This window comes from Homo sapiens, chromosome 15 (genome assembly GCF_000001405.40).
Source record: "Homo sapiens chromosome 15, GRCh38.p14 Primary Assembly".
Classification (NCBI taxonomy): domain Eukaryota; kingdom Metazoa; phylum Chordata; class Mammalia; order Primates; family Hominidae; genus Homo; species Homo sapiens.
In genome coordinates, this window is record NC_000015.10 from 76,685,816 (window position 1) to 76,707,936 (window position 22,121).

At 34.7% G+C, this 22,121-nt stretch overlaps 1 protein-coding gene across 30 annotated transcripts in view, besides 2 other annotated features; it reads right to left on the reverse strand.

The window, feature by feature from the left end:
- Positions 1 to 22,121, reverse strand: part of SCAPER (S-phase cyclin A associated protein in the ER) — a 557,437-nt gene that overhangs the window by 337,912 nt on the left and 197,404 nt on the right. For 26 of the 30 annotated variants that reach the window (NR_148227.2, XR_007064448.1, XM_017022273.2 and 23 more), the window contains 3 exons: positions 20,088 to 20,169; positions 17,035 to 17,187; positions 15,943 to 16,050 (listed from right to left, as the gene is read on the reverse strand). Coding sequence is in view for 28 of the 30 variants with exons in the window: in XM_017022273.2 (XP_016877762.1) it covers positions 15,943 to 16,050; positions 17,035 to 17,187; positions 20,088 to 20,169 (343 nt within the window). In the remaining 2 variants the exon portion in view is untranslated. Of the gene's footprint in view, positions 1 to 11,228; positions 15,279 to 15,942; positions 16,051 to 17,034; positions 17,188 to 20,087; positions 20,170 to 22,121 lie in introns of those variants that run through there. The other 4 variants (XM_047432632.1, XM_047432631.1, XM_024449944.2 and 1 more) reach the window with 1 other exon arrangement.
- Positions 13,516 to 14,016: an enhancer, noted in NCBI's record as "H3K4me1 hESC enhancer chr15:76991672-76992172 (GRCh37/hg19 assembly coordinates)". NCBI's record gives its function as "activates a minimal SCP1, AML or CMV promoter by ChIP-STARR-seq in primed H9 embryonic stem cells {active_cell/tissue: H9 hESC(primed)}" and the evidence as "EXISTENCE:reporter gene assay evidence [ECO:0000049][PMID:30033119]".
- Positions 14,017 to 14,517: an enhancer, noted in NCBI's record as "H3K4me1 hESC enhancer chr15:76992173-76992673 (GRCh37/hg19 assembly coordinates)". NCBI's record gives its function as "activates a minimal SCP1, AML or CMV promoter by ChIP-STARR-seq in primed H9 embryonic stem cells {active_cell/tissue: H9 hESC(primed)}" and the evidence as "EXISTENCE:reporter gene assay evidence [ECO:0000049][PMID:30033119]".

A 22,121-nucleotide genomic window follows, 5' to 3' on the forward strand; every position in this document is an offset into this window, starting at 1 on the left:
AGGATAGGGAATCCAGAAACAGTTCATGCATGCATGAAATGTAGCATAAAACAGAGGTGACATGAGATGGTGAAAGAAGAGTCCAATAAAAGGAGCTGTAAAAAATAATTCTAAGTGGATTGAAGATTTAAATGTCAAAAACAAAACTTCAAAACACTTAATGGAAAATGCAGGTGAACCACTTTTATAACGTAAGATAGAGAAGATTTTTGAAGTAGAACACAAAAAGTACTATCTATAAAGGACAATATTGATAAATTTGATTGTTGAAATTAATATTTTTCCTAATAGATATAAGAATATGAAAATCTAAGTTAAAAACTGTTATAGATATTTCCAATATACATAACTAATAAAAAACTAGTAACAATTTGTGAAAAAAGCCTAAAAATAAAAAGGAAAAGTAAACAACCCAATAGAACTCAACAGAAAAGGGGCAGAACAGCCACAGACATTCTACAGAACAGAAAATACTTACCTAAAACATGAAGAAATGTTTTATGTCATTAATGATCATGCAAATAAAAATCAAGCCTATAATGAAATATCACTTTACACCTACTTGATTGGCAAATGTTAAAAACCCATATAATGCCAAGAGTTGTGGAGAATGTAAATCTATAACTCTTATACGTCACTGGTAAGAGTGCAAATTGGTGCAACCAATTAGAAAAACAGTATAGGATCATCTCTAAAATTGAACATTTATATACCATACTACTCAGCATTCCACCCTTAGGTATATACCCAAGGAAAACTCTTATACATGTACAAGTGGTATGTATAGGAATGTTAACACCAACACTACTTACAAATCAGAAACTTAAAAACAACATAAACACCAATCAAAAGGATAGTAAATAAATCGTGTATAATCACAAAACAGTACAGCAACCAAAACCAACAAACTAAAGCTCTTCATAGTAATTGGATGAATATAAGCATTATAATACTGAAGGAAAAAGCACAAGTCCCTAAAGATTACATACAGCAAGGTATTCTTTTTGTAAAGCAATAAACAACCAAAATAAAAGTATACATTTTAGGAATAGACCTACATTCAAAAAAATCAAAATATAAATTATGAATGGGACAAGAGGGAAGAGGATCTATCAAGCAACATTAACCAAAACTAGGTTTGCATATTAATACCAGACAAAAATAATATTCAAGGAGAAAGGCATTAAATAGGAAAGAGGAATGCTTCATATTCTTAAAAGGTAAACTTCACCAGTAAAAGAGATATAAAAAGTTATGACTGTGATGATAAATCTTTGGAATACATAAATAGCAAATATTGATTTTAAAAATACAAGGAGATGTGAAGAAATAACAATAATAGCATATTGGCATTCTTTCCATTTTGAGTAAAGGATTTAAATGAACAAAAACCAATCGGATAAAAAAGTAAGATTTACATGATAATTAAGACATTTGATCTAATATATGTTATATATACCCAGAGAGAAAAGAGATTACTCTTAAAATGTTACAATATATTAAACTACAAAGAAAAATTAATAAACTCCTCAAAGTGGAACTTATATAAGCCATATTCTCTTACCATTATCCGATAAAAGTAAAAATTAAAAATCAAAGAATAGTCCTCATATTGGCAACATATACTCTTTTTTAAAATTATTATACTTTAAGTTTGGGGTACATATGCAGAACATGCAGGTTTGTTACACAGGTATACACACGCCATGGTGGCTTGCTGCCCCCATCAACCCATGATCTACATTAGGTATTTCTCCTAATACTATCCCTCCCCTAGCACCCCATCCCCAACAGGCCCCGGTGCGTGATGTTCCCCTTCTTGTGTCCAGGTGTTCTCGTTGTTCAGCTCCCACTTATGAGTGAGAACATGCGGTGTTTGGTTTTCTGTTCTTGTGTTGGTTTGCTGAGAATGATGGTTTCCAGCTTCATCCATGTCCCTGCAAAGGACATGAACTCATCCTTTTTTATGGCTGCATAATATTCCATGGTGTGCATATGCCACCTTTTCTTTATCCAGTCTATCACTGATGAGCACTTGGGTTGGTTCCAAGTATTTGCTATTGTGAACAGTGCTGCAATAAACATACATGTACATGTGTCTTTATAGTACAATGTTTTATAATCCTTTGGGTATATACCCAGTAATGGGATGGTTGGGTCAAATAGTATTCCTAGTTCTAGACCCTTGAGGAATCGCCACACTGTCTTCTGCAATGGTTGAACTAATTTACACTCCCACCAACAGCGTAAAAGCACTCCTATTTCTCCACATCCTCTCCAACATCTGTTGTTTCCTGACTTTAATAATCACCATTCTAACTGGCGTGAGATGGGATCTCACTGTGGTTTTGATTTGCATTTCTCTAATGACCAGTGATGATGAGCTTTTCATCATATGTTTGTTGGCTGCATAAATGTCTTCTTTTGAGAAGTGTCTGTTCATATCCTCCGCCCACTTTTTGATGGGGTTGTTTTCTTCCTGTAAACGTGTTTAAGTTATTTGTAGATTCTGGATATTAGCCCTTTGTCATATGGATAGATTGCAAAAATTTTCTCCCATTCTGTAGGTTGCCTGTTTACTCTGATGGTAGTTTCTTTTGCTGTGCAGAAGCTCTTTGGTTTAATTAGATCCCATTTGTCAATCTTGGCTTTTGTTGCCATTGCTTTTGGTGTTTTAGTCATGAATTCTTTGCCCATGCCTATGTCCTAAATGGTATTGCCTAGGTTTTCTTCTACAATTTTTATGGTTTTCTTATTTTTAAGTCTTTAATTCATCTTGAGTTAATTTTTGCGTAAGGTGTAAGGAAAGGGTGCACTTTCAATTTTCTGCATATGGCTAGCCAGTTTTCCCAACACCATTTATTAACTAGGGAATCCTCTCCCCATTGCTTGTTTTTGTCAGGTTTGTCTAAGATCGGATGGTTGTGTGGTGTTATTTCTGAGGCCTCTGTTCTGTTCCATTGGTCTATATATCTGTTTTGGTACCAGTACCATGCTGTTTTGGTTACTGTAGCCTTAAATGCCTCTCTTTTTTTTTTTTTTTTTTTTTTTGAGACAGAGTCTTGCTCTGTCGTCCAGGCTGGAGTGCCCTGGCACGATCTCGGCTCACTGCAATCTCCACCTCCTGGGTTCACGCCATTCTCCTGCCTCAGCCTCCAGAGTAGCTGGGACTACAGGTGCTCGTCACCACGGCCAGCTAATTTTTTGTATTTTTAGTAGAGACAGGGTTTCACCATGTTAGCCAGGATGGTCTCGATCTCCTGACCTAGTGATCCGCCCGCCTCAGCCTTTCAAAGTGCTGGGATTACAGGCATGAGCCACCGCACCCAGCCCAAATGCCTCTTTCTTAAAAAGGAAAAAAAATGAAAATCAAACTGTCCTCAATTAAAGGAAATATGTGGCATTAAATAACATGTCTTAAAACAAGAACAAATAAAAACAAATTAATCATTCAACTGAGACGGGGTAGAGGGAAGGAGAGAGAAAGAGACTGAAAAAAGGTAAAAAGAAGAAAAATTTTAAAAACCATTAGCAAGTTTGATTAAGGCAAAAACAAAGTGTAAAATACTGAAATCAGAAAACAGAAAACAGATTTTAATGATTTTAAAGAGGCTACTTACTATGTGTATATTTTATTAAAATAAATTAGAAAATCTAATCTAAGACAGTAATTTTCTAAAAAAATATCAATTATTGACTCAAGAACACCTGGAAAATCTTAAGAGACAATGAATATAGAAGAAACTGATATGGTAGAGAAAAGCCTCCCCCTAAAAATGGCTTCTAAACCTGAGGGCCTAGAAGTAGCAACACCTCAGTTAATAATGAGCACTCCTTATATCTAGGTCTTGTTTTCTAAATGTTATCCTTGAAAACAAAAAAAAAAACAGAGCTCCTTGGAGAAGTGGCTGATTCTAGGGCTAGAAAAGGAAGAATACCAGAGAAGGCTGCTGCTTACAAGATTATAAAATGCCAGTAAAGAGGTGTCCAAAAAAAACTAAACAGGGCAACATCAAAAAGACACAAAAACTAACTGAAAGAGCTCCTAATCACCAAAGCTGGAACAGTATTAGCAATAAGATAATGTAGTACTAGAATATAACTCAAAGTAAAAAAAAAAAAAGTCCATCTGATATAAAAAATGAATAAATAAATATGGGCAAACCTTCCTTACCAGAAGAATTCCAAAAATTTTATATAGATAGTCCTCCTCTGGAAGCTGAAACCTAATCCCTCCCACAGGTATCCCAACCCCTTGAAACCTCCTTCCAAGATATGGAAAAAAAAAATAGTCACTTCACAGTGAAGAAACATTGCAAACACTACTGTGGCAAGAAATAAGTTATAATTGTATGTATCTCTGATATGATGTGGCATAAAGGACATTTAAACTCTATGGTATTCCCACCAAATATATATAACCCCAGGGTAATCATGAGAAAAAAAAATCTATAAATATACTTCAAGTCATCAGGCGAACCCAAATGAGAGACATTCTGCAAAATGCCTCACCCAGCACTCCTCAAAACCGATAGGGCCATGAAAAACAAGAAAAGATTGAGAAACTGTCACAAACCAGAGAGTACCAAGGGGACATAGTGACTAAATGAAATGTATAGTCCTAGATAAAATCCTGAAATAGAAAAAGAACAGTATTGGAAATACTAATGAAATCCAAATAAAGTCTGGTGTTTAGTTATATTAATGTACCACTGTTTATTAATTTTAACAAATTTAACTCATGTACCATGGTAATATAAGATATAAATAACAGGGGAAACTGTGCAAAGGGTATATAGAAATTCTACTATCTTTACAGCTTTTTTGTAAACCTAAAATTATTCTAAAATAAAGTTCACTAGAAAAGAAAAGAACATCAGGTCTAGATAGTTTATAAGTAAGTCTACCAAATCTTTAAGAAAAAGACTATGTTAGAGAAACTGCTCCAGAACACAGATAAGGCTGGAAAGAGCCCTTATTTACTTATGTCTATTATGAACTTCATATTAAGTCCAGAAAATGAGACTAGAAAAAGTAAAACTATAGACGAAGTTCATATAGGAAAAAAGGATATGAATAAAAAACTTCTAAGTGAAATATGAACACAGTGAACCCAAAATATTATATCTTTGAAGAGGTATTTCCACTGGAATCAAAAGCAAGGGAAAAAAGAGGGCTCTTGATCTTGTTTTCACTACTCCTTTTCAACATTGCAATGAGGTCCTAGTCAATGCAATAAAAACAAAAGCACGTATTAAAAAAGTAAAAATATTAGAAAATACCTTACAAACTGTCACTATTTTTGGACCAAATAATTAGTAAATCAGCCAAAAAAATCCAATAGAATAAAAATGCTCAGTGGACAGACACAAAATCAATACACAGAAATGTACAGATTTACTTTGATATAATTGGAAAAAAATTATTAAAATTAAATTATTAAAGAAATTTTCAATACTTAATTGAAGAAAACCGTAAACTTTACTCAATGACACATACACACAAATGCAAGACATGACTAGACAAACATTCAAGTCCCTGGAAGGAAAAAAATCAATATTTAAATAATGTCTGCTCTTAAGGATAATTTAATCTACAATTTTAAAACAATCTCAATCAAAATTCAAACGGTTATTTTTGAACTGAACAACTTAACTGCAAAGGCGATACACAAATTGAAAAATAGAGAAATATGGCAATTTTGAAAAAGAATAAAGAGGAATGAACTTACTGTATTAGGAATGGAAGCAAGACGATAGAGAATAATATCTAATCAATAAATTCTTGGAATATAAAATTGTCAAGCTATAATTCTACCCCCAGTGAAAACCCCATTTACAAACAAAAGCACAATTTTAGATAAGCAAAAATCAGATTTCCCCACCAGGAGATTCTCACTAACCCAAATGATGGGTACAAAGAAATTTGTTCTATTGTTATTCTATGAATAGTTTACATACATCCTAGACACTCTTCTGTACACATGATATCACCAAAACTCTTAAAAGTGTAAAAGACGTATCAAACAGATACTAAATAAATGAAACCCAGCTTATCTATATTACTGTCAAACAAAACAGACTTTAAGAAAACTTTTTGAAGTTAGATAAAATGTCCCAATTTGTTTTATGAATGGATTATGAGCTTGATTTTAAAACCAGAAAGTGACAGCAGAAAAAAGAAAAAACTATTCACCTACTGCATTTCTTATACTAAAAAGAGTCACTTTCCATAGTAAAAGGCTGGAAATTGAGAAGATACACAATTCTAAACTTGTATGCAGTTAATAACATAGCCTCAAAATAAAAAGCAGCAGACAAAAATCAGCATAGATACAGAATACTGCAATGGTCAGGTTTTGTAAATGTTCCTTATACCTTAAGAGAATGTGTTTTTTCGAGTTATCCATTTGATCAAGCATATTAATTATACCAAAGAAATTAGAAAATGAGTGGAAGTGAGTAATAATGGAAATCGTTTGTATCAAACAGGATACAGAAAAATCAGAAATTAATATTTTAAGTACTTCCATTAAGTACTGAAAGTTAATGAGCCACGTATTCACCTTAGGAGTTAGAAAAATAACATGAAGGCTGGGCGTGGTGGCTCTTGCCTGTAATCCCAGTACTTTGGGAGGCTGAGGCTGGTGGATCACATGAGGCCAGGATTTTGAGACCAGCCCGGCCAAAGTGGTGAAACCTCATCTCTATTAAAAATACAAAACTTAGCTGAATATGGAGGTGCATGTCTGTAATCCCAGCTACTTGGGAGGTTAAGGCATGAGAATCACTTGAACCCAGGAGGCAGAGGTTGCAGTGAGCCAAGATCATACCACTGCACTCCAGCCTGGGTGACAGAGCAAGATTCTGTTTCAAAAAAAGAAAAAAAAAAAAAAAAGGAAAAGGAAAAGGAAAGGAAAGGAAAGGACAGGAAATGAAAGGAAGAAAAATAACATCAAAATTCCAAGAAAGAGGTAAAAAGGAAAAAAAAAGTCAAATAATGGACATTAACAAAATAAAAAATAAAGCGACAATAGACAAGATCAATAAAACCAAAATTCAAATTTTAGGAAATAAAAACTTTTGACAAGGATAATCATGAAAAAAATGAAATGATCAAGAAAAAATAGAATATTGCAATATTCTGTATCTATGCTGATTTTTGTCTGCTGCTTCTTTCAATTACCGATTGAGAGGGTTACAAATTTCCCAGTATGATAGATTTATCTCTTCTTGTTGCTCTGTCAATTTTTGCTACATTTATTTTAAGGCTATGTTATTAACAGCATTACAGTTACAGGTAAAACTGAGATTGCATAAAATATCTAGAATACCCCAAAAAACTTCTGCCAAGACATTTAGAAATTTAGGGAAAAAACTAGATCCTTTCCTAGAAAATGAAAATTTACCCAAACACACACAGTAAATCATAGAAAATTTAAATACACTGAAAGAAATGAATTGCTAATTTAAAGTAAGACCAACCTATTTGGATGGCTGCTATTAAAAAATTGAAAATAACAAGTGTTGGCAAGGATGTGGAGAAATTGGAATCCTTGTACATTGCTGGTAGGAATGTAAACACCTCATTAGCTGTGGAAAATTGTAGGGCATTCCTCAAAAAATTAAACACAGAATCATCATATGATCCAGAAATCCACTTCTGGGTATATACTAAGAAAACTGAAAGCAAGGACTCAAACAAATATTTGTATAACCCATGTTCATAGCATCATTATCTGCAATAACCAAAAGGTGAAAGAGGCCCATGTGTCTACCAACAGATGAATGGCTATACAAAATATAGTATACACAATTGAATATGATTAAATATAATGGAATATTATTCAGCCCTTTAAAAAAAGAAATTCTGATATATACAACACGAATGAATCTTGAGAACATTACACTAAGTGAAATAAGCCAGTCACAAACATGACAAATACTGTATGATTCCACTTATATGGGGTTCATAGAGACAGAAATTAGAATAGTGATCACCAGGGTCTGGAGGGAGGAGGGAATGGAAAGTTAATGTTTAATAGGCACAGAGTTTCAGATGTTCAAGATAAAAAGAGTTCTGTGGATTAACAGTGGTGATGGTAGCATAAGAATGTGAATGAACTTAATGCCACTAAACTATAATATATACTTAAAAAGGGTTAAGACGGTAACTATCGCTTTGTATTTTACTTTGAAATCAGGAAGTGTAATGCCTCCAGCTTTGTTTTTTCTCAGGATTGCTGTGGCTACTCAGGTTTTTTTTTTTGTGATTCCATACAAATTTTAGGAGGTTTTTTCTATTTCTATTAAAAATGTCATTGAAATTTTGATGGGGATTACATTGAATCTATAGATTGCTTTGGAGAGTATGGACACTTTAACAATATTAATTCTTCCAATCCATGAACACAGGATATCTTCATTTATTTGTATCTTCTTCAGTTTCTTTCATCAGTATCTTACAGTTTTCAGTGAAAAGACTTTTTACCTCCTTGGGTGAATTTATTCCAAAATATTCTACTTTTTGATGTGATTATGAATGAGATAATTTTATTAATTTCTTTTTCAGAAAGTTCATTGTTAGTGTATAGAAACATAACTAATTGTGGTAATCACTACATAGAGTATGCATTAATATACAAATCATTATGTTGTGTACATTGAATGTGTACAATTGAATATACACAATTTCTGTAAACTATACCTCAATAAAGTTGGAAAAATAGTTAAGATGGCACATTTTAAGTTATGTGTATTTTACCACAAAAAAAGACAGAAAACAAATTTTCCCAAAAAACACATACCAGGAACTTTCCATACAATTTTATAGACACATTAAACAAAACCTTTAAGGAAGAGACAATTTCTATTTTATGCAACATGTTCCCAGGAATAAAAATACAACAGGAAAATCTAGTCAGTTTATATATGAAGATGATACAATCTTAAGAAAGAAAAATCATAAGATATTTTAACAACAAATTTAACTATGTACTTTTAAAATCATGACCAAATTGTTAAATATTAATATAGACAAGCTATTAATGTAACATATCACATGAATAAATTGAAAAAAGCAATTTTGCAATTTTGCCCAAAAAATACTTTTTGCTGTAAAGGAAAAAACCAATCATAAGATGGAGAAAAAGTTCAACACAAATTAATAACGATTTATTATTTTTAAGATCTTATAAAATTAGAGAAAGGACCTTCTTTAAGATATTTATAAAAACCTATAAATTGATCAAATTAAAACTGCAAATTAGAAAGTAACAGGGTAAAACAAAGTCTTAATTTCATTCAGCTTAAAATGCCAAGTTACTAAATTAGCTACTAGTGTAACTCTAAGGTCACTTTGCACTCCGAATTTTATACCTTGACTAACATAGCTAAAAATCTGTTAAGAGTCAACTTAATTCTTACTTCTTCTGTTTTGAGTTAATTCTAAAACTCTAAAAAGCAAGCTTGTATTCTTTCCTTTATAAAAATTATTTGTGGCCAGGCACAGTGGCTCATACCTGTAATCCCAGCATTTTGGGAGGCCAAGGCAGGTAGATCACCTGAGATCAAGAGTTCGAGACCAGCCTGGCTGACATGGTAAAACGCCATCTCTACCAAAAAATACAAAAATTAGCAGGGTGAGGTGGTAGGCGCCTGTAGTCCCAGCTACTTGGGAGGCTGAGACAGAAGAATTGCTTGAACCCAGGAGGCAGAGGTTGCAGTGAGCCGAGATCAAGCCAATGCACTCCAGCCTGGATGACGGAGCAAGACTCCGTCTCAAAAAAAAAAAAGAAAAAAGAAAAAAAACTGTTTAATTAAATATTTTTCCTTGACCTAATAAGTGGAATCTAAAAATTTTCCTTGAACTAAATGAAGATCAATAAATCAGCCACAGATATAGAGCCACATATTCTCTGCACATCCAAGTTACAGTGTGAAAACTTAGAATATATAAATTAATAATAAGCTATATATGTGTGTGCATTATATACTGAATACACATACATTTACACACACACACACACCCCATAAAATTCTTCCCATACTATTAAGGAGAAAATCAAGTCAATGGAAGCTATGCCTTAAAAGAAAGTGTAATATGTTTTAAAATCATTTCTCAAATTGTCTTAAACTTACCAACCCTACTGAGGTATTAGATGGGAAAAAAACCAGAAGATTTATTTTAAATTACTTCTAGTTTGTTCATTTGACTTGATTTCCTGTTGAAAGGCAAATAAGATGTTTCATAATGTGATTATAAAATGACAGTGAATACTTCTTCTACAAAGGCAAGCAAGGTAAGGAAATAAATGGGTCTATATGGAATTATCTTTTATTTCCCAGACTACCATAATTCTGGCAAACATCTTGCCACTTCTTCTTTTGATCTCAATGCCAGGCGCACCCTGGCCAAGACAGTCAGCTTACATTTCATTAAATACAGTGATGTCTTTATATTTTTGCTAATTTAAAATTTCTTTATTTTCCTAGTTTAAAATTTATTTTCTCTTCAATCACCTAATTGGCATATATTGTCCATGGAAACTAATAATGTAATTTGTAAAGTCACATATGGTTGTAAACATCCAATAAATTACAGTTAATTTAAGATCCTTCATGAAGGTCCCATTCATACCTTTCAGGAGTCAAATGAAAATTAACTATTTTTTTTTCTATAAGTATACAAGGTAACAAACAGAGCTTGTACAATGTACATGCTTTTAAAGCTAATGAATCTCACAAACATAGAAATATATTGATTTAAAATGGAAAAAAAACCTTTTAAATTCATTCTACATGCTTGCTACATGCTTGCTACTTCAAGCAACTTCTAGAAAAGATACTATCAGCTTCTTTAGATAGTGTGAAAACAGGACCACAAAGATATCAAGTACTAAAAATAATACTTCATTGATTTATTTAGCAATGCATGTAAAAAGTTAAATTTTAGAATGTATTTAAAACTACTACCCATTTTTGACTTTTAAAAATCACTTTTTTAATCATTTGAATTCTAAGATGAATGAGGAAACAAATCAAACATAAACTTCAAACACAGTCCATTTTGTTAAGTCTCAAGAAACAGTAGAAAAATGTCCCAGTCAAATTACAATAAAAACACAAAACAATAAAGCCTTCTTACTCAGCAGCTACCTACTATGTTTAACAGGCTTAAAACAAAATGTGTCAAAGATCAAGAGTAAGTTATCTGAGATGTTAAGTTCATAAGGTCAAAGGTACAATTTTATTAGGTCAGAGGTAATATAAATAAAATCTTACATGTCAAAGAAGAAAGGTCACAGACAAGGTGTATATAATATAAAGACATCATAGATGACAAGTAATAACTTTAAGTAGAACAAGTATGTTTACTATAGATACCCTCTACTGATTAAAAAAATGAAACTTCCATGAGAGTAGTAGAAAATAACCTTTTTATATCACATAATTCATATGCTATATTATACACTTGTTTTCAGGAAGAAGAGGCTATAACCAAGAATAACAACATGAATTAAGTTAGAACTTTAAGAAAATTTAATTCCTTCAAACTGAAACAGTACACAAAATGAACACACCAATCAAATCTCAAACCATAATGGCTAAACATAAGACTGCTATGGCTACAAAAATTAGATAATATTGCACATTTTTCTTCCGAAGTGCGTGAATCCTATTATTTCCTTCTAACCTTTTCTCACTGAAATAAAAACATGCGAAATTTATATTTCAGTTTACATAATACCATATTCCAGAAAAATTGTTAAGTTTTTTTTGTAAATTAAATAATATTTTTAGCTGTTTTATTAATGGAAATTAATTACAAATAATTTTTTTTGAGATCGAGTCTCACTCTTGTCGCCCAGGCTAGAGTGCAATGGCACAATCTCAGCTCACTGCAACCTCCGGCTTCTGTGTTCAAGCAATTCTCCTGCCTCAGCCTCTGAAGTAGCTGGAATTACAGGCGCGCGTCACCATGCCCAGCTAATTTTTGTATATTTAGTAGAGACAGGGTTTCACCATGTCGGCCAGGCTGGTCTCGAACTCCCGACCTCAGGTGATCCACCCACCTCAGCCTCCCAAAATGCTGGGATTACAGGCGTGAGCCACCGCGCCTGGCCACAAATAATTTTTATAAAGGAAAGAATATCCTTTACAATGGGAATTATTACAAGTAATTGAGGCAATTAAGGATTTTTTTAAAAGTAGAGTACACAAAACATGACTATAGTTCTTAACAGAAAATTCAAGTAGAAAATGGGGGTAATCATGAAAGATTTAAGTAATAAAGAACTCCATACTATTCTCTCTTAAACTACTCATACGATTTGAGTAAAAGGCAGAAAATTATTTGAGGCAAACTAGATTATTAGTTCCATGTTCCATTTCATTTGTATTAAAAGCACTTAGAATTTACGAAGGTGAAATTGAGAGTTCTACTCCCATGATACCTTCGAGCCACTCTGTATAAACTTTTCATTTTGATTCAACTCAATGGACATTTATAAATAACCTTAACTATATGTCAAGCATTATATCAAACATGAATATGCAAGGCTCAAACACTGGAGACTTTTAATTATAGCTACCGTGAACTGGCTTGTACTGGACTAATCTAATGCCAAAAGTTGTACAAAATACCCAAAGCAACTATTTGAAGGGAACAAAAGCCAACATAGACAGGACTTGAATGACTATGATGCCTAAAAAAATGCAAGCACATAAAATTAGCTGTACATTCATTCTGGATACTTCCTTCAGGGTTTATGCCAATTTTTGGCATGGGAGAACAGTGCAAGCAGACAGTACCAGTCTTAGTGAGCTGAGGAGACAGAATTTGAAGTTTAGAGCCATCAAAGTGGTTAAAACTTGAGGAGCAAAATTCTTCCAAGTTAAAAAATCACAAAAAAAGTGAGCTCAGACTGGGCTATATTTTTGGTTCCATATGAATTTTAGAATAGTTTTTTCTAATTCTGTGAAGAATGTCATTGGTAGTTTGATAGGAATAGCATTGAATCTGCAAATTGCTTTGGGCCATATGCCCATGTTAACAATACTGACTCTTCCTATCCATGAGCATGGAACATTTTTGCATTTGTTTGTGTTATCTCTGGTATCTTTGAGTAGTGTTTTGTAATTCTCATCTGTAGACATCTTTCACCTTCCTGTTTAGCTGGATTCCCAGATTTTTTATTCTTTTTGTAGCTATTTTGAATGAGACTGAGTTCTTGATTTGGGTCTCAGCTTTGATGTTGTTGCTGTGTAGAAACGCTACTGATTTTTCTACATTCATTTTGTGTCCTGAAACTTCACTGAAGTTGTTTATCAGATCTAGGAGCTCTGGAGCAGACCCTTTTAGGTTTTCCAGGTATAGAATTATATAATCTGCAAAGGGAGATGGTTTCACTTTTTTCATGCTATTTGGATGCCTCTGATTCTTTCTCTTGCCTGACTGCTCTGGCTAGGCCTTCCAGTACTATGTTGAATAGGAGTGGCGAGAGTGGGAATCCTTGTCTCGTTCCAGTTCTCAAGGGGAATGCTTCTAGCTTTTGCCCCTCCACTATGATGTTGGCTGTGGGGTTGTCATAGATGGCTCTTCTTATTTTGAGCTATGTTCCTTCAATTCTTAGTTTGTTGAGGGTTTTTAACATGAAAGGATGTTCCTTTCATCTTCGAAATTGCTGTCCTTTGGATGAGGCTTTTTGTTTTTATATTCTTTGATGCCCTTGAGGGTTTGACTGCAGTATACACTGCACGTTCAGTGAACTGGCTCTGCTTCTGGATGATTTCAGCAGCGCTGGACTGCATGCCCTGGGGGACTGAGACCAGGCCCATGGCTTTGCTCTTAGGCACCTCAAAGTTAAGCACTTGCTGCGCTGGAGTGGCTAAGGTGTTCCTGGTCCGCTGGCAACAACACTTCAATGGCGGGCGCTGGCAAAATCACTTCATCAACATGGTGGTATCAGGTTCAAGTGCACAGGCTAGCAGTCACAGGTTCCACATGCACGCAGTTGCAGCTGGCAGAGTGTGAACAGTATTCGCACACTGGTGATGGCAGGGCAATGGCAACGGAGTCCATACCTGCACCGGTGCCAGTAGCAGCATGGTGGCAAAGTCCATGCAGCTGCCAGAAAGTGGTGGGGAGAGGCTGTGGGTAGTTGCACGCCAGCAGGGGCCCATCCACAGAAGCTCTCCGATGGTCAGGCAGGGTCTCCTGGGGTAGGAGCTACGGTGGCAGCCACCTGGAAGCACCTCGTTTGGGCATCCAAGTCCGCACTGCAAGAAGGCATGGCCAGGCAAGGACCCTGAGAGATGCCATCAGACCAGAGTGCTCGGATTACACTGGCCCTGTCCCACTGTCAAGACAGCCCTGCTGTGTGCAGGTCTGACGGACAATAATGGCCAAAGCCACCTAGAGGAACACAGTGAGACTTGAGGGTTGAGCATCTCTGGCTGCCCTCCACAGCAGCTGTTCCTGTGTCAAACCCTCTGGACTCTTCACAAGCTGGACTCCAGTCCCTGCCACCTCTCCAAGCAATTCTCCCTGACAGCTCAAATGTCCGTGGGGGTCATGGGGTCTCCTGCAGCTAGGATTCCAGAGGTCCGTGGTGAGAGTGGACCACTCCTTGCTTAGTTAGCCACCTCTTCCTCAGGAGAGAGTCCTGGTGCTCTACAAAGCCAGGCAACATTCCCTGCTTTCTCTTGCAGCTTCAGCCCAGGGTGTGCCTTCCCTTCCTCTACTCTCAATGCCTTCCTTAGGAAGATCTGCTCAGAGTGTGCCAGCCTTCTTGATGGTCTGGTCTCTCAGTGGGAGATGCTCTTCCTGGCTGCATCTAGTCAGCCATCTTGGCTCTTCCTGTTTCCCCTTCTTTTAACAAGTCATTAAATAAAATACTATTCAACTACAGACATGTTCCTGATGCTACACAGGAGGGCACTGACATAAAGCTAAGAAGAATAACTACAGCTTCACATAAACAATAGGGATCACTTTCACAAGCTTAAGCATGAATGTATGAAGTCAGGCAGAAAAGAATACATACTGTATGATAACATTTGTATGAAATTTAAGAACAGGCAACACTAAATAATGATACAAAAATTCACAGTAGTTAACTTTTGGGGACATAAGTAGGAGGGGGCATAAGAGGAGCCCAAAGGGTACAACAAATGATCTATATTATGATCTGGGTGGTTTTATATCAGTTTATACATATGTAAAAATTCATCAGCTATATACTTGAGATTTATGCTCTTGACTAATGAATGCCATACCTAAAAAAAAAAAAAAGTTCAATATACACATGCACCTACATAAAGGTACCTGCCCTCAAAGAACCCACAATAACTTTTCCTGGACAGCTTGAGTTGCTTAACAAATATGAATTTCTTATTCTTGAGTAGTTTTAAAAATTTACTATAATAAATAGGACAATAAATTCATAGATTAGCTATATCATCCAAGTTTCAAAAAGAGTTAAATGAAAAATATTCATATACATATTTATACAAATCTAAATTCCATGTTGACAATAATTATGTGTGAAGAAATAATGAATTTCCAAAAGCTTCTAAATGGTATACTGATCCAAAATTATCCTCTTAAGTGAAATTTATGTGGTTAACTGTTTTCCAAGAATGTGGCATGTCATTGAGTGATTATTTTCCTGCATTATTAAAATATCAATATACCATAACATTTCCTTATACTGAAATTATGTAAATAACAGCATTAAATTCTTTTTTCTATCTTTCTTGTTAAATTAATATATACACTAAAATAATGACACATTTGTACACTATATTGTAGTAGCTATTAAGTGCTAAATATAGTTTTAAATAATCATAGAAATAAATACAAACACGGAATTCTTTATAATAAAACAGCACATATTGGGTACTCAATAAACAATTGTAAATGAACAAAAATAAAGTTTACCACTTCTTCATCTGACAGTTCACGCCCCTGGATGCTGGTATTCTCTCTCACGGCTTGCTGGTGTTTTCTCCCTTTAACATGGCTAAAAAGATATACCTCTGAAGAGATCTGAAAGCACAAAATCAAAGCAATGTAATCAATATAACATTATATGAATTTTAAACACTACACATTCAGTCCAGTATATGATATGTGAGTTGAGATCCACCTAGTATTTACATATTAGTCTTAAAAATAGTTTCCTCAGAACATAATTCTGAGAATCCTCTAGAAGGCAAATGGTTAAAAAAAAAGACTTGGGAGGCTGAGGCAGGAATATCGCCGGAACCTGGGAGGCGGAGGTTGCAGTGAGCTGAGATCGTGCCACTGCACTCCAGCTTGGGTGACAAAGCGATACTCCATCTCAAAACAAAACAAAACAAAAAAAAGACATGTTACAGCCAGCCTAAGAGGAAATTATTTCCTCTAAGTTTGAAGGTTCAAGTCTCAGCAGTGAAAATGTTGCTTTTTTTTTAGATCTAATACCCCAAAAATACTGACTTGGGCTATCACATTAAGCAGGTAATCATCCATTTTAATAGTAACTATATTCTTGAGCACTTTTACTGCTATTCCAAAATGCTGATGTTATTTGTACCACTTTTCATTCAGAATCATGAAAGAAATCCAGGTCACTCAGCAGATGCCTTAGCATGAGTTTTATTTTTTGAAACAGAGTCTTGCTTTGTCACCCAGGATGGAGTGCAGTGGCATGATCTTGGCTCACTGCAACCTCCACCTCCTGGGTTCAAAGGATTCTCATGCCTCAGCCTCCCGAGTACCTGGGATTACAGACATGCACCACCATGCCCAGCTAATTTTTTGTATTTTTAGTAGAGACAGGGTTTCACCATGTTGGAAAGGCTGGTTTTGCACTCTTGGCCTGAAGTGATCCGCCCACCTCAGTCTCCTAAAGTGCTGAAATTACAGGTGTGAGCTGCCACATCTCGCCTGCCTTAGCGTGAGTTTTAAAAGACTGCAAGAATATATTTCCATGGTTTCATAAACTTTAGTAGTAAACTATATCATTACAATATTGATATAACAACCTACCAGGACATTGCAGAGAGAACACTGCTTCTTTCTTTCATAAGGGGTCAGTTTGGGGGCATAATCAGTATTTGCATGTCGCCCACTGCTTAGCTCAGCAGCTTTTTCTTTTCTTTGTTCAATCTGTTCCATGTGCCTTCGAATACTTTCATCATGCTGTAGATGAAGTCAAAGTGCAAGAATTTCAAAAATTATTCAAATTATGGTGAGAAATTGGAAAAATAATATTTCCATTAAAACTTCAAAAATAATAGAATGTCGTTTCTATGACAACTTACACACTGAAGACAAAGCTTTACACAAAGCCCTTTAATATCACCCACATGAACAGTAATGTTTATTAAAGTGTGCTCCAGGAGATATTAACAAGTGTTTTACAGAACAGGTTCCATGGTCAAATAAATTTGGAAAACAGCAAGCTAAAACTAAACAGGTTTTTAATGTAGAACTTTACAGAACCTCCAGTACGTCACTGTGATATATGACTCAATGCACCTAGCTTTTAGTAGGCATCAACTTACAAATTATTTGCCAATAACACATTTTTGAGAACCACTTCCTGGAACCCACCATGGGAAATGTTAACCTACGGGTAAAGCATATGCTTATCCATACAGCAGGCAAGGCCCATCATGACCAAACCTATAACCTACTCCATTTTTATACCTCCAGTGACAATCCTGGGGGAAAAAACGCTATTTCAGACCTTTGTCCTTATACTCATCTATTTGATATGGCTAGAATGGCATCGCACCTACCTATCCATTTTACTCATCCTCCTTTCAAGATCCAGCTCAGGAAGTGTTCTTTAAAATCACTTCCTGACCTCTGACACTCCTCATATTAGACTAAGTGTCCTCTTCTGTGCTTCCACAGCATTTCATGTATGCCTCTCTTTATGTGGAGGTTATGTACTTAGCATCTGAATTTAAAGTAAATGAAGAGTTTCTTAAAAATCAGAACCATGCCTTATCTCTGCATTCCCCTGCCTACCACAAGGCTCAATAAATACCTGCTACAATAAATTTAAACGCATGATAGATTTCTAGGACTATACAAATAGTAAAATACAGTCTTCTACCTTAGGGGTTTTACTATCTCTGTGAGGAGCCAGCATGTAAATAACTGTGATATAATATGAAACATTCATACTGTTAGAGACTGCCTATGGTTGTAGTAATGCTAAAAATTTTCTAGAAAGTATCAGTTTATCATAATCTCCCAAGCTATAATTATACAATTCATAAGCACTGAAATCAAGTGAAGCAAATTATAAGAAACATCTTTTACTTTACTTTTGAGTGATTAAAACCTATGAATATAAGAAGCCTACCTCTAATGCCTTCAAGTCATTAGTAAATTGCTTAGTAAAAACAGGAAATGTTAGATGAGTAGGTTGCGAGAATTTTCTCCCATTTTGTAGGTTGCCTGTTCACTCTGATGGTAGTTTCTTTTGCTGTGCAGAAGCTCTTTAGTTTAATTAGATCCCATATGTCAATTTTGGCTTTTGTGGCCATTGCTTTTGGTGTTTTAGACATGAAGTCCTTGCCCATGCCTATGTCCTGAATGGTAATGCCTAGGTTTTCTTCTAGGGTTTTTACCGTTTTAGGTCTAATGTTTAAGTCTTTAATCCATCTTGCATTAATTTTTGTATAAGGTGTAAGGAAGGGATCCAGTTTCAGCTTTCTACATATGTCTAGCCAGTTTTCCCAGCACCATTTATTAAATAGGGAAATCCTTTCCCCATTGCTTGTTTTTCTCAGGTTTGTCAAAGATCAGATAGTTTCGCAACCTGCTCATCTGACAAAGGGCTAATATCCAGAATCTACAATGAACTCAAACAAATTTACAAGAAAAAATCAAACAACCCCATCAAAGAGTGGGCGAAGGATATGAACAGACCCTTCTCAAAAGAAGACATTTATGCAGCCAAAAGACACATGAAAAAATGCTCATCATCACTCTCCATCAGAGAAATGCAAATCAAAACCACAATGAGATACCATCTCACACCAGTTAGAATGGCGATCATTAAAAAGTCAGGAAACAACAGGTGCTGGAGAGGATGTGGAGAAACAGGAACACTTTTACACTGTTGGTGGGACTGTAAACTAGTTTGACCATTGTGGAAGTCAGTGTGGCGATTCCTCAGGGATCTAGAACTAGAAATACCATTTGACCCAGCCATCCCATTACTGAGTATATACCCAAAGGACTATAAATCATGCCGCTATAAAGACACATGCACACATATGTTTATTGCGGCACTATTCACAATAGCAAAGACTTGGAACCAACCCAAATGTCCAACATTGATAGACTGGATTAAGAAAATGTGGCACATATATACCATGGAATGCTATGCAGCCATAAAAAAAATGATGAGTTCATGTCCTTTGTAGGGACATGGGTGAAATTGGAAATCATCATTCTCAGTAAACTATTGCAAGGACAAAAAACCAAACACCGCATGTTCTCACTCATAGATGGGAATTGAACAATGAGAACACATGGACACAGGAAGGGGAACATCACACTCTGGGGACTGTTTTGGGGTGGGGGGAGGGGAGAGGGATATCATTAGGAGATATACCTAATGCTAAATGACAAATTAATGGGTGCAGCACACCAGCATGGCACATGTATATATATGTAACTAACCTGCACATTGTGCACATGTACCCTAAAACTTAAAGTATAATTAAAAAAAAAAAGGACACAAGAAGATGGCTTTTAGGATGGTTAAAAAAAAACAATGTAAATACACTTAACATGACTGAACTGTGTAAGAAAAAATATTAAAGATTCTAAATTAAAAAGAAAAAAAACAGGAAATGTTAAACTTCCTTAAATTTTTTTTCCTCAATGGCCCTACCATATCAAAGTAAACTTAGTTTCCAGGTACTAAGTTAGAAATGATTGTAGCAAAATCATATAAGCTTTGTTGTGCAAAGATTAAGAATACAAATTAATTCAATTTTTTTCCTACAAAATTTTGATCTCATGCTCCACTGTAAGCTCTAAAATTTCAAATTAAAAATATATAATATCCTTACCTTGAGCTGAATTTTTTTCTGTAACTCTTCCATAGCTTCTTGTTGAGCAGCTGTGAGTGCTGCCAATCGTTCTTCCCTGTCTCTGTAAGAAGACAGTAAAAATTATAAACTCAACTGCTTAAAGTAACAAATCTCATGAGACTCAAAAATACAATTAGGACACATAGGGTCATATAGTCTAAAGGGCTACTTTTTTAAAATATTCTTCTTAAAGTGCCTACTAAGTCTCAGGTATATTGCTAATTAAATATTTGGGAAACAATAGAGATTATCAGTTATGAAATGGGTTTCTGGACCCAGGCATGGCTTTAAATATTAGCTCAAAGACTGTCATTTAAATATGGCATGTTGAAAACTATATTTATCTCTATTCCCTTCCAAAAACTCAATTAAACCATTAAAAGGAATAGAAAAGGCATAAACTCAAAAAGACAAAGTAGAAGAGGAAATAATCACAAAAAATGGACATCAATATTTCAAAAGCTGAGAAGCAATCCTGAGAAAGCTGAAATCTAAGCTTTCAGAAGGAAACTAATAAGCAAGGTGATTCTACTAGCAAAATTCCATAGAAGCTCAGAAATTGAAGAAACTATAAACTTATGAAGGAAGAGATAAAGGTTGAGGATAAAAATCAGCAGACTGGGAAGGCCTTAAAATACAGCAGATCTCCAAATCTTCCCATGCCGGCAGAAGGTGAAGAGATTACTCCCTAGAGGGTCTGAACAAAAAGACCTGCATTCAGGACAGAAGGCAAATTGGAGGTGAGATAATATACTGAAAACAGGAAGTTTAAGTGAAAATCTACATACAGAAATGGTGAGACAAGTAGCATCTTTCTACTTTTTAACTCACACAGCATGCATAGCCAGCTTTACATACCACTCCCCTCATGTATCCCAGAATTTAAAGTACAATAAATTAAAATAAATAAATAAATAAAAAGAAACAAACTGTTGATACACACATACACACACACACAAAGAAATGTATAAATATATTTTCTCTTTTATTCGCCTAGTTCTCTTAAACATATACAACTGTATAAAGAAATAATTATAAGACTATTGTTTCATTTATGACATATATATGTAAGATATGTGAAAACAGTAACACAAGGGGAAGAGGACATAGAACTTTGGTACAAAGTTGTTCCATTTTAACAAAATTAATTTAGTTTTATCCTGAAGTAGAATATAGTAAGTCGATGAATACTATAATCCAAAAAGCAACTATTAAAGTAACTAAAATAATTTTTTAAAAAACAATGAAAATAATACAACAAAAAGTGGTGGTTTAATAAGAACAAAAGGTAAAGGAGAACAAAAAAGACTTGAGACATAGAAAACAAATATCAAAATGGCGGACATAAATTCAGTCATACCAATAATTACATCAAATGAGAATCGACTAAACATTCCAATCAAAAGGCAGAAATGAGCAAACCAGATAGAAAAGCAAAACCCAACTATATACAGCCTACAAGAGACAGATCTGAGACACAAAAACACAAAAAGGATGAAAATATAAGAACAGAAGACATACCATGTGAATAGTAGATACGGCTATATTTACAACAGAGACAATTTGACATTAATACAAGAAATATTTTTTAAAAATTAAAGAGGAATATTTTATAATGAATCAATACCTCAGTAAGGCAAAACAATTATAAATTACATGAAACTAGCAGTACACCAAAATACATGAAGCCAAAATGTCAAAACTAAACAAGAAATACACAGTTCAACTTATATTTGGAGATTTTGATAATTTTGTCTCAAGAATTTACAGAACTACAGAGAAAATCAGCAGTATACAGAAGACCAGACAACAATATCAATTACCTTTACCTAACTGACATTTAGAGAACACTCCATCCAACAACAGCAGAATGCACATACTTTCGAAGAGCACAAAGAACATTCACTAGTAATGTCCACATCATAAATTATAGCTCAATAAATGTAAAAGCAATAAAATCATACAAAGTACATTCTTCAACCACAAACGACTGCATTATAGATCAACAATAGG